The sequence below is a fragment of the Homo sapiens genome, chromosome 6 (genome assembly GCF_000001405.40).
Source record: "Homo sapiens chromosome 6, GRCh38.p14 Primary Assembly".
Taxonomy (NCBI): Eukaryota; Metazoa; Chordata; class Mammalia; order Primates; family Hominidae; genus Homo; species Homo sapiens.
In genome coordinates, this window is record NC_000006.12 from 79,686,360 (window position 1) to 79,706,684 (window position 20,325).

The 20,325-nt window shown below is 37.0% G+C and overlaps 1 protein-coding gene across 5 annotated transcripts in view; it reads left to right on the plus strand.

The window, feature by feature from the left end:
• SH3BGRL2 (SH3 domain binding glutamate rich protein like 2) overlaps positions 1–17,296 on the plus strand; it is a 166,023-nt gene extending 148,727 nt beyond the window's left edge. For all 5 annotated transcript variants that reach the window (NR_171675.1, XM_047419391.1, XM_047419392.1 and 2 more), the window contains 2 exons: positions 10,126–10,206; positions 13,139–17,296. Coding sequence is in view for 4 of the 5 variants with exons in the window: in XM_047419391.1 (XP_047275347.1) it covers positions 10,126–10,206; positions 13,139–13,150 (93 nt within the window). In the remaining variant the exon portion in view is untranslated. The remainder of the gene's footprint in view (positions 1–10,125; positions 10,207–13,138) is intronic.
• Positions 17,297–20,325: the final 3,029 nt, after the last annotated feature.

Here is a 20,325-nt window from a genome sequence, read left to right on the forward strand (position 1 = left end):
CTTTTTTCCTTTTGGATGAAGTTTTACTCTTATGTTCTAACTTTCAATACTCTTGACTTATCTAGTAATTTCCATCTCTTGGTCTTGATATTCTGCATTCTGAAAGGCATTCGTAACTTTTATCTTCTAGATCTCTAGCCTGGTTTTTAGCTCTATGCTATCCTGCTTTTTATTCTTTTTATCTACTTTCTAATTTGGCAGTCAAACTTAATTTTCAGGAGCTCTTTTGTTTCTTATTATTCCTTTAAAAATAGTGGCTTGTTCTTGTTTCGTGGATGCAGCATTTTCTTTAATCTCTCCAAGGATATTAAAAAGCATTTTTTTAAGTTTTGTATATTCTGTAAGTTATCTCTATGTTCTCCAGCATTAGTTCTAGTTGTTAGTTTTTGTCTTTCTTAGGAGCCAGCTTGGCTTCCCCCAGTAACTCACAGACCTGCTTTCCTTTGAGCAGGAGGGCTAAATAAGACTGTGTAGGAGAGTGGGGGTAGCATGAAGCAGACTGGAACTCCTCAGGTGCCCGTGAAAGAGCCACACCCAGGCAGCAATGGACTTCAGTGCGTGTCCCTCCAGGGTGAACTTCCTTTCCATTTTTCCCTTTCTGTGTCTGATGTGGGGTCAGGGTGACCACAGACTGTGCTGGCCTCTCAGGCCCCTGAAGCCTCACCAGGAGTTTTCAGCATATAGGCAGCGAGTGTTGTTTGGAGAGCACTTCTCTGGAGCTCTGGCCACACTGGGAAAAAAACTGTCTAAGCCATTACAAATGTACTTCTTTTATACATTGATTGCCCTGCCATAGCCTGCTCCAGATTGTTGTGTTCATTGTCTCAGGCTTGTGATTTCTGTGCAAGCTCCTTGGGAAGGACTGTTCTTCTATTGGTTTGGGCTGTGGTTTCCCCTGCTGTGTTTTCTCTACCTGTTTGGTTGTATTTTATGTATTCTGGGTATTTCTTAAAATTTTATGGCTGGTTCCTGTTCCTAGTTTTTTTTCTCCTCCAGTTTAAATTGGCTCTTGGGTAAGAGGGGAGGTAGATGTATTTGCTTGCTTTGTTGTCTTGAACCTGTATGGTCAGAACTATTAAACATGAATTAGGAATTTGAGATTCTCACCTTTGGATTTGCTCATATTTTTGTATTTGGCATAAAAATTGCCAAAATGAAGCTGTTTTAGATAACTGCATCTTGTCTATCCTGCCAGGATTGGAATTGTCTACTGTTTTTTGATTTCTATAGCAAGATTTCATAAAGTAGACTATAGCACTAACAACCTTTATCCACTAAATCAAGAACTTCTGCTTAGAGGCTACCCTTCGGCTTGAAAGAAAATTTGAGAAGCAGCCACTGTTCATTTTAAGCAGCTGCAGCAACTCCTATAGTCTTAAAAAATTGCTTTTTAAAAAATATTCTTCTTTTGGGTAAAACAAATTTACTTGGGCTCATTTAGAACTGGTTGTTGCTATGCCATTTCCTTGTTTTTGTTCCCTCCAGTTTTCTATTTGGTTATGTCCTTGGCATGAAGAAATAATGTGGGCCTTTCACTTAATTGTGATTGACTTAGCTGTGGGAAGCAATACAGCTTATCAGAGTGGCTGCTGTGAGCTTTCCTAACTGTTCTCTCCAGAGACACTGAAAGGGCAAAGAACATTAAGGTGTTTGTCTCAGATGCTTGCTTAGTCCATAATGGTCTAATCGGAGTGCACAGATAATGTCCTTAAGTAAGCCTTGTGGAGGAATGAAACTGTTGTTAACTCTACCTGTTGTAGATTTTATTATGAGCTTAGAAATGTCTCTAACAGTGGTTTTCACTTGAACATAAACAGAAGTATAGGTGATGAGAGATTTAAAAAAAAAAAAACAAAAACAAAAAACCACAACTGTTCAGGTTGCTATATTCTTAAAATTACAGCATTTAGATAAATGTTCCCTTAGTGAGTTCGAGTAGCTTGGTTATGCTATTATCTATACAGTTCAGAGATTTTTCTTTTTGTCAGCAATTGGCAATATAAACAAAGTGAATTTTTTGTCCTTTGTCTTAAATGGAATGAAAATGTACCAGCTTCTGAAATGGGCAATTTTACCTTGAATATGATTTATGTGGTTATATCTTTCTGCAAAGTAAATATTTACTAATCATATTCTGTAATTACAAAAGGTTGATTGTCCTGAAATGTGCAATCTACAGATGTGTATTTACAAAACACTTTAGGGAGAGTGCCTTAGACTATAAGGAATTCAGTGAGCCTATTTGGAAACTTTATGTGAGTTTTAAAAATACAGTGCTTTTAACCTTTGTAGTAGGAACCCTAAGGTATTTTTTAAATATATGTAAGCCTGACAAGTAAAACAAATTTGATAAGAAAGCAGATTTTTTTATTTTATTTAAGAATGCTTACAACCATAAGAATTTGTATCTTAATAGGAAGTAGTTTTAAATTTTTAATACTATATTAATCTTAAATTATTTCACATGCATTTAACTTATCTCTATCATATCTACTTTTTGCTTAAACATGACAAAGAAAATATTAATAGTTTCACTTTATATTTATGTACTTTAGGATTCATCAGGCCACTCAAAAGCTTTTGAATGTTAGAAAGTGAATTTTTCACACAATTCTTTAAAACTGGTAAATAACAGAATAGAAATAGGATTTACTTAATTGTTACTAACATGATATACCTAAAACATGGCGTGTCATTAATTAACAAATGCAATTCATCTATCTACATGACAGAAATTATTGGTAACCTGGTGTCTGTCAGGTACTAGTCTAACACTGACTTTTAAAAATGATTTTCTTTAAATCATTCTCTTTTTCAAGCTAATTACCAAATTTTATATTTGTCATTTGGAAGGAGTTAATTACCTTAAATAAAAATTTCTATTCTTTTGGGTGGATCCCATTCAATTTTTGGATAAGAAGCACCCTGCTGGCAATAGTGATAGGGCACTGAATTAAAGGTTCATAACATAAAAATAACGCTTATAATTATTATGAGAGAAATACAGCTTAAGAGAAATTTTTCTTTTCTAAAAGTAAAAAATGTTGCTATTCTGAGATTTCTAAACATCTGACATTTCTAAATACCTTTCTTGGTGACTGAAACTTTAAGAATGGTTTCAATTTAATATGGACAAATGGATTATTGATAATGTTACATATTTTCTCTGCATGAGAGAAAATGTTACATATACACGGTTTTTCTTTTTAATTGAGACAGGATCTTGCCCTGTTGCTCAGGCTGGAGTGCAGTGGTACAATCTCAAAATTTTGAGGCTGCAGCCTCAAAATCTGTCTATTTTATAGGTGTTGGTTTATATATATGAAACTTGCACTTGAGAATTTACCTTATTTCCAATGTTATGATTTGGGGCATTGGGATCATTTTAAGATTAAGGTTTTTAATTATAAACACTGAAACCTGAAATATAAACATTAAGTCTCATTGTACCTTGCCTTTTGCTCTTTTACATGCACAATATTTTTGTGTTACCACCTAAAGCTTTTGAAAGTAGAATTCATACTACATGTATAGAGATTGAGTGAGGCATTGTTTATGTTTTCTTTTTTACATTTCATTAACTTTTCATTCCTACATTTCACACTGACATTAGAGTTGTTTGTTTTTGTTTTTGTTTTGACATAGGCCCTCCGTCACTCTGTCACCCATGCAGGCTGTAGTGCACTGGTGTAGTCATTGCTCACTGCATGTAGCCTTGAACTTCAGGGCTCAGTTGGTCCTCTCACCTCAGCCTCCCAAGTAGCTGGAGCTGCAGGCACATGCTGCCATCCCTGGCTAATTTTTTAATATTTTTTAGAGACGGGGTCTTGCTGTGTTGCTCAGGCTTGTCTCAAACTCCTGGCCACAGACAGTCCTCACACCTCAGCCTCCCAAAGCTCTGGGATTACAGATGTGAACCACCCCAAATGACCACATAAGATATTTTTAATCACATAGAGACAGATGGTAGCCTTTTAAAACAAGAACAGGGACAGCATTTTGATGATCAAGTTACTAGCCCTCAATTTTTCTCATTAATATCTTTTCCCTTACCTATTCAGTTAAACAAGACAGGGGCAATTTCCAAATAAATATCTCCAGGAACAGGAATACTTAGGCTGGGCTTTACACCTGGGCACAGCTAACAGTCCATTTAGGAGCAACTCTACTGGATTCTCCTTTATTTTGTAGAATTCTGGCGTTCCAAGGGATTTCACTAGTATTCTGATACAGAAAGAAAGAAAGTCTGAGAAGGTTAAAGGAGTTGATCAAGGTCATAGATAATTCATAGTGGTTTGCTGGACATCACATCCACGGTTGACTAAACATATACACCACTCAGTTTTCCAGAAATGAATCTGTGGTTGCATCAGACAGTGGTTGGTGCAAGTAGAAGTATAACACCCCCTTGACTGGGCATGGTGGCTCACGCCTGTCATCTCAGCACTTTGGGAGGCTGAGGCAGGAAGATTGCTTGAGCCCTGGAGTTCAAGATCAGCCTGGGCAATATAATGATACCTCATCTCTACAGATAGGTGGTCTCTTTGTAGAGGGGGTTTTCTCTAAAAAGAGGGGTTATCTCTACAATAATTTCTCTCATGAACATAGATGAATTTTTTGATTTTTTTTCTACAGAAAATGAAACAATAGCTGGGTGTGGTGGTGTGCACCTGTGGTCCCAGCTACTCGGGAGGCTGAGATGGGAGGATCACCTGAGCCCAGGAGGTAGAGGCTGCATGAGCTGTGAACACACCATTACACTCCAGTCTGGGTGACAGAGTGAGACCCTATCTCAACAACAACAAAAAAGATCCTTCTTCTCCCCAAACCTGATGAATTAGAGCTAGGCCATGTAGGGCCTTTCATATTACATTAAGGATTTTAGTCTCTATCTTACAAGGAGTGGGAAGTCTCAAAGGAAAGGATTTAAGCAGAGGGTGAGATCAAATCTGTTTTTTTGTTTGTTTGTTTTGTTTTTGTTTTTTTTTGTTTTTTAAATTTTATTATTATTATACTTTAAGTTTTAGGGTACATGTGCACAATGTGCAGGTTTGTTACATATGTATACATGTGCCATGTTGGTGTGCTGCACCCATTAACTCGTCATTTAGCATTAGGTATATCTCCTAATGCTATCCCTCCCCCCTCCCCACACCCCACAACAGTCCCCGGTGTGTGACGTTCCCCTTCCTGTGTCCATGTGTTCTCATTGTTCAATTCCCACCTATGAGTGAGAACATGCAGTGTTTGGTTTTTTGTCCTTGCGATAGTTTGCTGAGAATGATGGTTTCCAGTTTCATCCATGTCCCTACAAAGGACATGAACTCATCATTTTTTATGGCTGCATAGTATTCCATGGTGTATATGTGCCACATTTTCTTAATCTAGTCTATCATTGTTGGACATTTGGGTTGGTTCCAAGTCTTTGCTATTGTGAATAGTGCCACAATAAACATACGTGTGCATGTGTCTTTATAGCAGCATGATTTATAATCCTTTGGGTATATACCCAGTAATGGGATGGCTGGGTCAAATGGTATTTCTAGTTCTAGATCCCTGAGGAATTGCCACACTGACTTCCACAATGGTTGAACTAGTTTACAGTCCCACCAACAGTGTAAAAGTGTTCCTATTTCTCCACATCCTCTCCAGCACCTGTTGTTTCCTGACTTTTTAATGATCACCAGTCTAACTGGTGTGAGATGGTATCTCATTGTGGTTTTGATTTGCATTTCTCTAATGGCCAGTGATGATGAGCATTTTTTCATGAGTTTTTTGGCTGCATAAATGTCTTCTTTTGAGAAGTGTCTGTTTATATCCTTCGCCCACTTTTTGATGGGGTTGTTTGTTTTTTTCTTGTAAATTTATTTGAGTTCATTGTAGATTCTGGATATTAGCCCTTTGTCAGATGAGTAGGTTGTGAAAATTTTCTCCTATTTTGTAGGTTGCCTGTTCACTCTGATGGTAGTTTCTTTTGCTGTGCAGAAGCTCTTTAGTTTAATTAGATCCCATTTGTCAATTTTGGCTTTTGTTGCCATTGCTTTTGTTGTTTTAGACATGAAGTCCTTGCCCATGCCTATGTCCTGAATGGTATTGCGTAGGTTTTCTTCTAGGGTTTTTATGGTTCTAGGTCTAACATTTAAGTCTTTAATCCATCTTGAATTAATTTTTGTATAAGGTGTAAGGAAGGGATCCAGTTTCAGCTTTCTACATATGGCTAGCCAGTTTTCCCAGCACCATTTATTAAATAGAGACTCCTTTCCCCATTTCTTGTTTTTGTCAGGTTTGTCAAAGATCAGATGGTTGTAGATATGTGGCATTATTTCTGAGAGCTCTGTTCTGTTCCACTGATCTATATCTCTGTTTTGGTACCAGTACCATGCTGTTTTGGTTACTGTAGCCTTGTAGTATAGTTTGAAGTCAGGTAGCATGATGCCTCTGGCTTTGTTCTTTTGGCTTAGGATTGACTTGGCGATGCGGGCTCTTTTTTGGTTCCATATGAACTTTAAAGTAGTTTTTTCCAATCCTGTGAAGAAAGTCATTGGTACCTTGATGGGGATGGCATTTAATCTATAAATTACCTTGGGTAGTATGGCCATTTTCACGATATTGATTCTTCCTACCCATGAGCATGGAATGTTCTTCCATTTGTTTGTATCCTCCTTTATTTCATTGAGCAGTGGTTTGTAGTTCTCCTTGAAGAGGTCCTTCACATCCCTTGTAAGTTGGATTCCTAGGTACTTTATTCTCTTTGAAGCAATTGTGAATGGGAGTTCACTCATGATTTGGCTCTCTGTTTGTCTATTATTGGCGTATAGGAATGCTTGTGATTTTTGTACGTTGGTTTTGTATCCTGAGACTTTGCTGAAGTTGCTTATCAGCTGAAGGAGATTTTGGGCTGAGACAATGGGGTTTTCTAGATATACAATCATGTCATCTGCAAACAGGGACAATTTGACTTCCTCTTTTCCTAATTGAATACCCTTTATTTCTTTCTCCTGCCTGATTGCCCTGGCCAGGACTTCCAACACTATGTTAAATAGGAGTGGTGAGAGAGGGCATCCCTGTCTTGTGCCAGTTTTCAAAGGGAATGCTTCCAGTTTTTGCCCATTCAGTATGATATTGGCTGTGGGTTTGTCATAGATAGCTCTTATTATTTTGAGATACGTCCCATCAATACCTAATTTATTGAGAGTTTTTAGCATGAAGCGTTGTTGAATTTTGTCAAAGGCCTTTTCTGCATCTATTGAGATAATCATGTGGTTTTTGTCTTTGGTTCTGTTTATATGCTGGATTACATTTATTGATTTGCATATATTGAACCAGCCATGCATCCCAGGGATGAAGCCCGCTTGATCATAGTGGATAAGCTTTTTGATATACTGCTGGATTCGGTTTATCAAATCTGTTTTTATAAACATCAGTCTGTCTTCACTTTGAGAGAATGATGGGGTAGAAATAGTGAGATTAGACAAAGGTTGATAAGTTGGGGTGCTGTTGCAGAAGTCTAGCTTAGATCAGGTTGGTAGAGACCAACGTGGAAAAATTGAGAGGCTTAAGGGATATATAAACTAGTGGTTGAGGGAAGAAAGGAGTCCTGTGATGTGTTGATTTTGGAGTTACAGGGCCCAGTAAATAGTGGTGCCATTTTCTGAGACGTCTAGTTTGTGGAGTGGAAGATCATGAATTGTCGTTAAGACCTGTTGTGTTTAAGAGTCTGTGAACAGTTAGTGACTTTTATGGAACCAGAGCTCAGAAGAGAGGTCAGGGCAAGAGATTGTGATTTTAATTAGGGCCATGGCTGTGAATGAGCTTCCCCAGGGAAAGACCTTCGACTGAGTAGAGGCTGAATATGGTATAGAGAGAACAGGTATACTAAGTTACATACAGTTGATATCTTAAAGGATGGAACAAATCTAGCTGTAATTTAGCCCTCTTCCTCCTCTTACCACGTTCAGTATAGTCAACAAATTGTCAGGCAGAGAAAGTATGTTTTGAACAGAATTATTTATTGAACTCTCATGAGGGAATTATTACTCAACTCTTTGGAAATAGCTTCATTACAAAGAATGTAACATTTTCAGTCCATGAGATTTTGCCTGTATTTCATGTCAAACTTTGACCTGTTTTTGTGGCATAGTTAGGATCATATTTTGTCTTACAAGAAATTACAAATTTTCGTACAAATTCCATGAAATCTCTACATCCTAGAGCCATTAGGAACCTCCAGTTGCTCAGCTGATATCTTCTTTACTCAATGTTTCATATAGTTTCTCAGATATTACATGTTGAAATTGAACTCCAACCTTCCCTTCAGATTGTTTTTTCTCGTCTTTTTCATCAAGCCAGAAAGTTCAGAGCCACTTTAATTCTTATTTCTCCCTAATCACCCCCATCAAATCCACAACCAAGTATGATCACTTCTACCCCCAAAATGTATCTGCAGCCTGTCTGCTGCCCTCTGCCGTCAGCTCGGCTGCCACCATTGCTTACTGCAATTGCCAAAGTACTCCCCTTTTTCCCCTCCTTTCCTTTTTGCTGCCCTTTTTTTGAGCCATTCTCCGCACAGTTATTTAGGTATTTTCTTAAAAGAAACTAGATCATTTTGCTCCCTTGCTCAAAACCCTTATATGATTTCTTTTGGTACTTAAGATAAAATTCAAGATCATTTTCTTGGTTTACAAAGCCCAGCATATGTTTATCCCTGTCCACCCTGCCAGCTTCACACTTCACTAGTGCTGCTCCCTGCCCAAGAATGCTCCCATCCCAGTCCTTCACTTGGCTAACTCTATTCATCCTTCAGATGTAAGCTTAAATGCCAGTTTTCAAAGAAGACTTGGCCAAATCGCTCTTTTCAGACATGTTGCTCCTTCTTGGCTTGGTCAAGGAAGGCCTTTCTTTAGAGCTGATCCTAAATGACAGAAGGAGCAGCCTGTGAAAAACCTGAGGCTACTGCCTTCCAAACCACGAGACTCAATTGCTAAAGCTTTTGGAGAAGAGGATCTGTACACAGAACCAAATAATTCAAAGATTTTTTAATCAGACAAGGCATGCGTTGCAGGAAGCGAATCTCTACAAGTCTAGATGCCGTTGGCTTGGCTTAACAATGGATTCATTAGCGCTCAGTGACTCCAGCACACGTGGTGCCCCATACTTGGTTTCCTTTTGGGCAGGATGCACCCTAGAGTACAGAAAGTGTGAATTTCAAGGTCAGTGAAACATGAGCCCAAATATCAGTTCTCTCACTTATTAGCTGTCAAACTTGAACAACATATTTCTTTGCCTTGAGCCAGTCTCTAACCCGGCAGGCTGTGGTGAAGATTTAATAACATAACATTTATAAGACACTTAGCACAAAGCAAATGCCTAAAATGATTGTGATCATCATTTGCTTACATTATTTATCCTTAGGATAAAGTTATCAAATTACCAAATTTTAAGACTGCTTTACATATGATAAATGCAAACTTTTGAAAAGAAACAGTTGAACAGATTGACCAGAATTCCTTGATGCCTTCTTGTGAAGGTAGGAAGAGAAAAATGATTCTATATGTTTGAGGCAAAGGTAAATATTATAGAGAATATAGTTTCCTTTAGTTTTTATTTGATCTTTTTATTCCCTCTAAGGAGATGGTCTCAAAGAATGTGGAAAACTTCAGAAGCAGAATAAGACACACTTTCATTGACACATGGAGACCTTTACAGCTTTGTTTACCCAGTGATTTTTTCAAAACCCTAGATAACAAAATATCAAGAGTGGAATTGGGAGGCAGCCTTCCATACTGAAAACCTAGAGTAAAATCTTAGGTCAGAGTGATTCACAGACAAATGTTAGTTTGGCCCACAAAGGAAAAGGAGTGTGTTCCTATTTCATTTCTGTCACCAAATGTTTTACATTTTAATCTTGTCATAGGTTTTGGGTTAAAAACTTGTTACATTCTTCATCATACTAAAATAAATTTTTACGTGCAAGCAGACTAATTCAGCAGATTTATTTAGCTTTTCCCTGATCTGGACAGAGCAATGGTACATTTTTTACTTCCATAAAGAATTTGTTCAAAGTACCAAATATAAAGATAATTGTTTGCTTTTGTTGGTTTATTTTCTGCTTCCCTTTTTTTCTAGGATTATGACAGTTTTTTTGAATCCAAGGAAAGCAACACAGTCTTTTCATTTTTAGGCCTGAAACCACGGTTGGCATCAAAGGTAGGTAAATCTTTTCTTATTCTTGTTTTAGAATTCATCTCTTTTGAATTTTTCTTAGAGATGTAGAGTGACGGTGTTAGAGGAATGCATATATAATTTCTTAGATTTGGGGGTTTTGCTTCCTCTGATGCATAATTAGAGACTACCCAGTGTTAAAACATACAACAGAGGCTAGTTTTTTGTTTTTCCCCCCAATTCTTCAGTTGTTGCTATAAATTAGAATATTACCTTATTTTTAATTTATACCCCATTCCTCCAAGAATTTAAGGTAGCAAAAACTAGTAGGTGCTTTCTGTTTAAAATTGCAAATTTTTTTACTTTACATTTTTTGAAATAGCAGACTCAGAGTCATATTTAAAGGTGTTTTAAATTTACTTTCATTGGAGAAGAGATGGTCTATAATAATAAATGGTCAACCTTGAAAAAAATCTTCAATTCTTTAATCAAAATATTTTGAAGCCACTTTTTATTAAGTCATATGTCTTTTAGAAAACATAAAGGAGCCAATATTTTCTCATGTTTAGAACTAGAAATGATGTGTGTTATCACAACTTTATTAAGCTTATAGATTCACTTTCAAAAAAGAAAAAACATTTCTTTATTAAGTAAGGTACTATTTTGATATTATTTCTTTTTTTAAAACACACATTTTCTTTCTGATTATGAAAGTAGCCTAGACTCCTTTTTTTGAATTGGGAAAATATTAAAAAAGGGTAAAACAAAGAACTAAAATCACCACCCAGAGCTAACCACATTGACATTTTTTGTGTTTCCTTGCAGTCTTTGTATACATAGTAATTGAAGTTTTGAGTGTTTCAAATTGAGACTGAATTCTAATATGTCTATTTTTAACACAACCGAAATAAAAGTACATTTCCTAGAACTTTGATGTCTTAAAATAGTAGGTCTTTTGAGGCTACCCAGGATTTGTACCATCTCTGGCATACCTGTAGGAAGAAGGCAGGGACCCTCAATAACATAAATTATAGACCAGCATCTGCAGTGCATAGCCAATGTGAAATCGTGCTTTGTTTTTACATCAGTTAGTCCACAGATGGTTGTGGGTGGTTTCCATGCACATGTTTTAAGCAGAGGCAAAACCCACGCATGCCGTATTTAAAGGTTCTTAAAACTGCTTTTATAAAGATGGAACATTTGAATACTTGTTAGGAAAATTAGAGTATTTTTATAACGTATTTCATCCAGAGATATTAAAAGTCCAGATTTATCTTCAAAGAACTGGAAAAAACTAGGATGGAGTAGTCTAATGGATACATAAATCCAGCGGGCATCATTGTCTATGCAAAAACCTTTTAAAAAATACTGCTTGTTCCCATTTTCCCCAAATATGTAAATTCTTTAGAGACTGTGGGCTGACTTCTTTATTCTTCAAAGAAATGTATTTTCTCACCAGTTTCTCAGGAAATCTATGGTCTATGAAATATACATTCTCACATGGCTTTTGGCCACAGTATTAAAGTTGATCTTGGTGTCACTGAAGTTAACTTGATTTCAGGGGACCATCCTAAAGGTAGTGAGGGCCCTGGACACTGCCCCCATTCAGCCCACCGTTTTCAGGGACCTAAATCAGTTATACCTGGACAGGAGTATCTGGGACCAGAGCAGATGTCCATAGCACAAGGTCTGTGCCACTCTCCATGAACCATTTAGGGCTTTAAAAGCTAATAGTAACTCATACTTCATCGTCGTATGAGAGAAGTGAAAATGTCTTCAAGAACAATTTAGCATTTTCTCTCTTCTAATCTTCTATTTTTTACCTTGGTAGTGATTCATCATACAGTCTATAGTCTAAGGCTTTGACAGAGTGTTCACAGGTTTAATGTACTAAAAGATGAAAGCCCTGTTTTCTCTTTTCCTTTCCTACTCCCTGTGTAGTATACACACATAAAAAACATGGCAACAAAGCCTATCAGGAAACATAAAGACATCATTAGCACCTATAATTGCTCTTACTTGGTAGGAGAGGACATTCATGGGCCCAACAGGCCCAGGTGCAGTGTAGGCTCTGACTGGGCTGCCCTCCATAGTGGGAGGGGCAAAGGTAGGTTAGAGGTCTCTAGATGGTGGCCTGCAGGCCACATTGGCCCTGGATATGTTGTTTGTCCTGTGAAGAGGTTTTTTAAAGTATGTAAATATTAGATGGTATGGAATCCCTGGTGGGGGTGGTGGGGGGATCTCAGTTTCCCTTGTAGTTGGCTGGAGCCCACAGTGGCTGGCCCATTGTGATAGCCAACTAATTCTGAGAAAGGGAGGCCATTTCACCGATACTTTTTAGGTAGAAAACCATCAAAGTTAAAATTTAGTAGACCCCAAGAAGGGCCTGTCATAGAAGATTGTACTTTCAGATCCCTAGCTTTCAGGGGTAATATCCAAAGTAGGTAACAACCGGTCAACACTGGGTGCTGACTGGCCAGAGCTTGAGCAGGCCACAGAGGCCCCCTGTGCCAGATGTCAGCTCTTTATCCATTGGCTCAAGGGGGAGGGTGCGCAGGGGTGGCAGTTGGGGGACTGGGGCAGCGACTCTTTACTAACAGATATGGTCGTTCTAGAGTGGTTCTTCATCTTGGGTTGCTATTAATGGGCATCTCTGCAGGCCCTCTGAGCAAGGTAACCCCCCACCCAGCCATACACAAGTGGAACAGTACCTCTGAGAGGAATCTCAGTAGGTCATTGAAAACATGCGGCTTTCTTTCCACTTTTATATTTGGCAGGTCGGGTGGGTGTGATTTAAATCTGGGCTCTGATGCTGAAACCCAGGATTTTCTCTTATCAATCACATGGAGGTGATCTGTTATGATTTCCAACATCTCTGTTCCTGACATTTAAAAAACCCCTGCCAAGGGTGAATTTTCTTGTCGATGTAATGCAATAACTGACTTTTTTTTTTTTTTTTTTTTTTTTTTTTTTATAGGCAGAACCTTAGAGAAGAAGAGTGGAAGATGACGGAGATGCATTTTGAAGCACCCCTGGTACTCAGCACACACATGCTTACCTAATGCATCACTGTGACAAAAGCCACACGCATTATCAGTAACTTTGCTTGCCACGGAAAAGGTGTTTTTGAAAGATGTGGCTATAATGAGAATTGCATGATTGCTTTAAACCAAATCAGGTGGTGGATTTTTTTTTTCTTATTCTATTTGCCTGCAGTTGCCTCACTCACCTGGAAATACCGTCACCTGTTACAGGTGTACTTTCTTAATGACTGAAAGATAAGTGGGTAGCACCGTCAGAGAGAAAATGTTGGATCTGCCCTAGGTTATAGTAGATGCCGGAATTGCGTAAACCCACTTCTCTTTAAGCTGCCTGGATTGCACCTTTGAAATATGTCTGCCAAGTTGTTAGAATCTTTGAATCAGAAGGAAAAAAAGCAGCGCTGGTTGACAAAGGGTGTTGAAGATTTTTGCTGCAGAATCAGTTACAAACATCACAGTTCCCATGCTTTGTAATAACACCTGGTGAAAAAGTTAGATATTCTAGACTTGTTTTAGTAATGGAAACTCTTACCTCCACATATTATCCTACAGATGTTTCCAGAAATCCCTGTTGTAACATCAAGTGATCAGAACTAAGTTACTGGGATGACAATAATTGCTATTTGAAATATATGCTTCTTTATTTCTTGCAAGGGGCAAGTTTCACCCAAATGCCTGAGACTGCTTGAAAGATATATTTTAAGTGGTGCACTAATTAGTGAATATATAGGAAAATTATCTGACGAGTATCTGAAGGCATTTTCAGCTCTAGCAATTTATTTATAATATATAAGTTCATATATTTTTTAATCCAGCTCCCCTAACAGACAGCTGCTGCTTCTATTTTGTGAAGGGACTATATTTTTTGAGAAAGGAAAATCTCAGTTAGATATATTTTGTGAACCCTTGATTAGACATATTAAAATATACCAATGTTGTAGTAAAATTTAATTTTTCCTTTTGTTACTTTTCATTTGCCTCTAATTTTGCTTGCTCATATTTCTGGCCAATGTACAGCCTCATATTTTTCAGAGTAATACAGATACTTGTTCTCATTCCGTATATGAGCACAAGTAAGGTTTCAGAGCAACACACATGAGAAAGAGAGTAACCCGGAATTGTACTTGTCAAGCAAAATCTATACTCCTATTGGAGTGGATGCTGATGAACATCGAACATATCTACTTCATTAGAGCAGAGGCTATTTTTCTGCATTCTTGTCCCTATAACAGGGATGCTTAATTTTTTTTTTAACTTAGAGTTTTAAATTGCCAAACATGGGAACAGCCTTGAATAGGATAAATTTTCAGAGGGCTGCCTAAAATATTTTATTTCTAGCATCCTGATTCTGGACTTTTCATTATAATTCTGAGCAGGAAATTTATAAGAAATTGAAAGAGCAGAAGAATTACAGCCCTGTCACATGTGCCCAGCACTCCGCCCCATGCCTTGCTAAATGTAGACTAAAGAACTTGTTGAATGCTAAGGCTGAAATCCCAACCTGAGATTTGTAGTCCAGGATTACAACCAGAAGGAAAGTATGACAGATTTCTACTTAACTAGAATGGACACATGATCCACAATTTTCTCTTCAAGGGAAGCTGTTGTCAAATTATGGATATTACTGGTTAGTTGTCATTAAGTAAGATCCAGGTCAAATTCCATTTGACAAATCCCAGGGACTATCCAGGAATTTTTTTTTAACTGGATATTGTGTTTGAGTATGTGAGTCTTCTGATAAAACTCAGAATTTCTTTTTAAGCAGTTGTAAAAATTGTCATGTTGTAATTCATTACTCAGCTAACATTTAGTCTACTCTTGCTAGTGAGTGCCAAGAACCAACTTGGTAAGGTTGAGGCTTTGCAAGTTAACTGCTGGGGTTATAGGATCAATACCATACTTGCTAGACAAAGCTACCCAGATTTGTCTTATATTATAATTTTTGAGTTAACCGTAGTATACCTATTATGATTATAGTAAACAGACTAGTGGGTAGTAATGCTAAATTACCATCACAGTTATGTGCCATCTCCCCACCCCATTTTTTTTTTTTTTTTTTTGATCAGCAAAGAAATACAGGAGACCAGTCTCGAGTGGTGCTGTACTTGTTATGAGTGAGGCAGCAGCACAGTGTGTGGCATTTACATGGTACCCAGGCTCCACAGAGTACCAAGATGTTGCCCTCTGGGACCACACTTAGCTCAGAGAATATGGGGTCCTTACTTGTATTCTTTTATCAGCTGATTTTGAAACATATAATAATGATTTTCTTGTTCCCTTCTTTAACTAGCTGCCTTTAGATTTTGATAATCACAGTCTTAAAATACTAGGAAAGAAGTGGATGGGAATTGTAGGCATAGATTTCATATCAAGGGCATTTCAAGACAGAATTTTTATTTCCTGTAGTAGGCTTGCTGGAGCAAAGGAAATGTGCTGCTAAAAATCAACTTATGCCATTTTAAAATTAGATAAAATATGGAGTGCCATCCTGCTAGGTGAGTACAGACCAGAAGAAAATTTAGTTGGGAAAATACTTGTTTTTCCAAATTCCGGTGTTTTATTACAATCAAAGAAGAGGAAAGCAAGGTATTTTTTCACCTCAGATTCTAATATATTCTAGATTTGTTTCTGTTTTATAGATTTAATTCAATACCTCCACATAGATGTTTTTATATTACATGAATTTAATAATAAACTAAACTTTTTTTTGTCTCCCGTTATTGAAAAGTACCAAAGCTTCTTTCTGTTGTGTTTGATTTTACTATAGGGGTTTTGCTTTTTCTAGAGATACTTTTCATTTAACAGCTTTTGTTAAGTGTCAGGCTGCACTTTGCTCCATATAATTATTGTTTTCAGATTTCAACTTGTATGTGTTTGTCTCTTAAAGCATTGGTGAAATCACATATTTTATATTCAGCATAAAGGAGAATAAATTCCAGAAAACACATATTCTGAAAATGGAGTGTTTGTTCCCTGCCATTTTTCACACCTCTCTTAATTTTAGTTCTGTTTAGTTGAGAGGCTGTGATTTTACTCTTGCCTGTGAACCTCATGCATGAAAGCAGCACATTAAATTGTAAAAATACAAACAGATCGTGTGATCATTCAAGGAGCCAGACATGAGGTCCTGCACGAGGGTGTTGGGAGGACACCACAGATTCATCTCAGACAGTGATCAGGACTGAGGATGGAGTTAAATCACTCAGCCCCTGGGTGGGGTGGGGTGGTTCAAATGGATGACTGATCTCCTGAGTACACTGAAGCCACAGGCTGGTGGCCATGTTCTCTGAATTGGGTGCAGAAGACAAGGGCAGAGTGGCTGCGGCCCCTATTACCTTTGTAGCAGCCACATCAGAAAGCAGAAGAAAACAGTATTTCTGAAGGCATTGTTTGAGGTTGATCTCAGCACTGAACGATTTCAAGCCCTACGCACCAGAACAGAAGGAGGGTGGAGGAAGTGATCAGAGGGAACGAGCTGTAGGTTTGCAGAAATGTGTGAAACCAAAATGATCACTGCCTACTTGTGATTCAAATCTTCAGAGTTTTCCTAGTTCTTCTAGAAATACATGTCAGGTTTGTTTGTTCATCCTTTCTGTCAGCATGGATCAAGCCCCTAAAATGTGGTAAGTGTTGTCAGAGCAGGGCAATATCTCTACTCTCAAGTATGAGGGGAATAGAAACAAAGCAGCAGTTTTAGCCAGGGTTCAATGATAGAGTGGAGGTAAATTAAGAGCCTCCAGGCTGTGATTCACCATTTGAGACATTATACATAATTTGTTTTTGTTATAAGCCATTTGAATTTTTAAAAAATTTCATACATGCAATGGAATATAGATATGTATATACACATATAATATATATGCTAAAGTATAAAGAGTAATAATAATGACAATAAACAAACCCCTGTGTGCCTACCACCCACCTTATTGCCTTTCCTTTGAGGTACCGTGTGCGGTTTCCTGAACCTATCTCTATCCCTGTCTGATAGAGGGAACCCCTGTACTGAACTTTGTGTTGACCATAGCCTTCTTGTCTTTCATCACTTTATCTCCATGTATGTATCCTTAAAGAATAATAAATGGAATTAAACTGAATGTATTCTTCTGTCACCTCCTTTTTATGTTCATTGCCATCGGAGTTTTTTCACTGCTAAATATTATTCCATTATGAATATATCACATGTTCTCTTCTCCAGCTGGTGCTTATTGAACTGCATCTTTGTTTGAAATAGAAAAAGGTAATGTTGCTCTGAATATTCTTTTATGTGACTTCTGGTGTACATACTGAAGAATGGATGTATACCTTGAATAGAATTGCTGGTTTATACAATAAAAGCACATCATCAGTTTTAATAGATAAGGCCAAATTGCTTTCCAGAGTACTAATTTATGCTCCCCACCAGTATACTAGAATTTGCAGGACTCTAAATCTTTGCCAATGTTTGAGATTGTCAGAGTTGCATTTTTGCCAAGCTGGGGAGTATAAAATGTTACCTCATTGTGGTTTCATTTTGTAAATTTTTGATTATTAGTAAGTTGAACATGTTTTATTATGGGAATTCTTGTTTCTTTTTCTTGGCAATCCCTCTTCATGTCTTTTGCCTTTCTTCCTATTGAGTTGTGTTTTAATGATTAATTTTTAAAGTTTCTTTATATTTAATATTTAATTGGTCGACATTTATTTAATCATTAAAGTGAAGAGAAACCAGATTTAGAGTAGAAAACTTTTCTGAGGCCATTTCCAGAAATATGCTAAGCATGTGAATCTTTATTCTATTTGGAGAAAATAAAGTTAAATACATATATATATTTTTTTCTTGTGTGCTATTTTTTACCTTGTCAGCATATCAGCCAACAGTTGACTTCGGGAGCTCCTCTGGGCTCTAGAAGGGTGTCTTCTTTGACTCCATTTTAAAGCTCATCAGTTGAAGTTATTTAGTAATAAATTAATTTTATTAATGTTATAATCTAGTTTTCTGCTACAGAATTTCACCAACAAGAAACCTTTATATAGACTGGATGTTTATATATGCACATCTTCTTAGTATGTCACCATATAATGGGCCTAGGGCAATAGGCCAAAATGATGTTACACGTAAATGCACATTAAAAAATTACTTCTTTAAGTAATAGGAGATTGTATTGAACCCATACCCAATTAAATAATCCTTAAGCTGAGTGAGGTAGATCAGCATCATGCTGAATATGACCCAGTGTATTGTGGTGGCAGCATGTTCCTATGTGTAAGCCAACTGGCAGGTAGAAGAACAAGAAACTAGAATGCAGTTGTATCTTCTGGGCCCCTGGTAACTGAGGGCATGACATTTTTGATAGACTGAGGACCCTGGTATTTGAAAGCATATTAACTGAAAACTTGGTGTACAATGAATAGGACAAAGATTTAGACCTTTTTGTAAAATAGCGCTCCACACTGTTGTAATATACATCATTTTTGGCCCTATAATAATAAAATTCATTATAACGAAACTTTCCACTAAAAAAGCTCTAGGACAAGAATCTATCATACTAATGTTATAGAAACGAAAGCTCTGTAGTTTAGAACAGTGCTATCCAGTGTGGTACCAACAAACCCTATATAGCTGTTGAGCACTTGAATTGTGCCTAGTTGACTTTGTGATGTGAATGTAAATATATTCCAGATTTTGAAGACTTAGTGTGAAAGGAAGAATGTAAAATATCTCATTAATAATTTTTATATTGGTTATATATTGAAATAATATTTTAGATATATTGGGTTAAATTAAGTATTAAAATTTATTTTTCCTTTTTGTTAAGGTGGCCACTAGAAAATTTAAAATTACATATATGGCTTGTATTATGTTTCCACTGGACAATACTGTTCTGTACAAACCTCTTTACCTGAATTTACAATAGAGAAATTAATACCTTTAAAAGGCTTTTTGGGTTTTGGCAAAATGTCACCTTCTTTCCTTTGTAATACTGAAAGGAAATGTGAATATCTTCAGGAACATAATTTTCTAATACTGCTGCCAAGATAAATATTTTTCTCATTTTGCTTTTTTGTTCCTCTAGGTTGAAGCACTTTTTGTAGTGAAAGAGAAGGTTATTTTTTTTTCCTGGAAAAACAGAATAATGTTTGTATGTTCTCATAATATGTGACATCTCTTCGTGTGCCCAGTCTGTTGTTACTGAATCATCGTATAAACTCAGTCTCCTGTTGAATTGGTTTCTGTGAACTAATTCATAGTGGCATGTTTGTATTTTTAAAAATAAATTTTATTGTGTATATTTAAGGCATACCACATGATGTTATAAGAAACATATTTGTAGTAAAATGGTTACTATCGTGGAACAAATTAATATATCAATCATCTCACATAGTTACCCATTTTCGCTCCTTGTGGCAAGAGCAGGTATAATCTACGCTTTTAGCAAAAATCCTGAATAGAATATGCTATTAACTACAGGCCTAATACTGTGCCTTTGGATCTTTAGGCTTGTTTATCCTACATATTTGCTACTTTATATCCTCTGACCTACATTTTTCCACCTTGCCCCCCAACCCAGACTTAGTAACCACTGCTTTATTCTCTCTATATTTGACCTTTTTTTTTTTTCCAGTTTATCCATGTTGTGGCAACACGATCTCCTTTTTTAAGGCTGAGTACTATTCCTGTCTCTCTCTGTGTGTGTATACACACCAACACTATAGCTTATCAATACTAATGCAACTGCAATGTCTCTGTGTCCAGTTTCTTGTTACTCTGTCATCTTATAAAGTTGATGTTTCCTGTTGAATTGGTCTATATCTCTGAATTAAATCATGGTGGCATTTGTATATTTTTTTCCTTTTTTTAAAAATGGGAACTTAATGAACCACATGGATACCATCTACAATCTGCAGAACAGTGATGACTATTAATAGGGTTTAGTCCTAAATTTTCTAAAATGTTAATTCTTTGTATCTATAAAACTCAGTTGAGCTTGTAAGAATATATGAATAATCTGGCTAGGTGCAGTGACTCATACCTGTTAATCCTAGTGTTTTAGGAGGCCGAGGTGGGAGGGTTGCTTAAGGCCAGGAATCCAAGACCAGCCTGGGCAACACAGCAAGATCCCTTCTCTACAAACAATAAAAATGT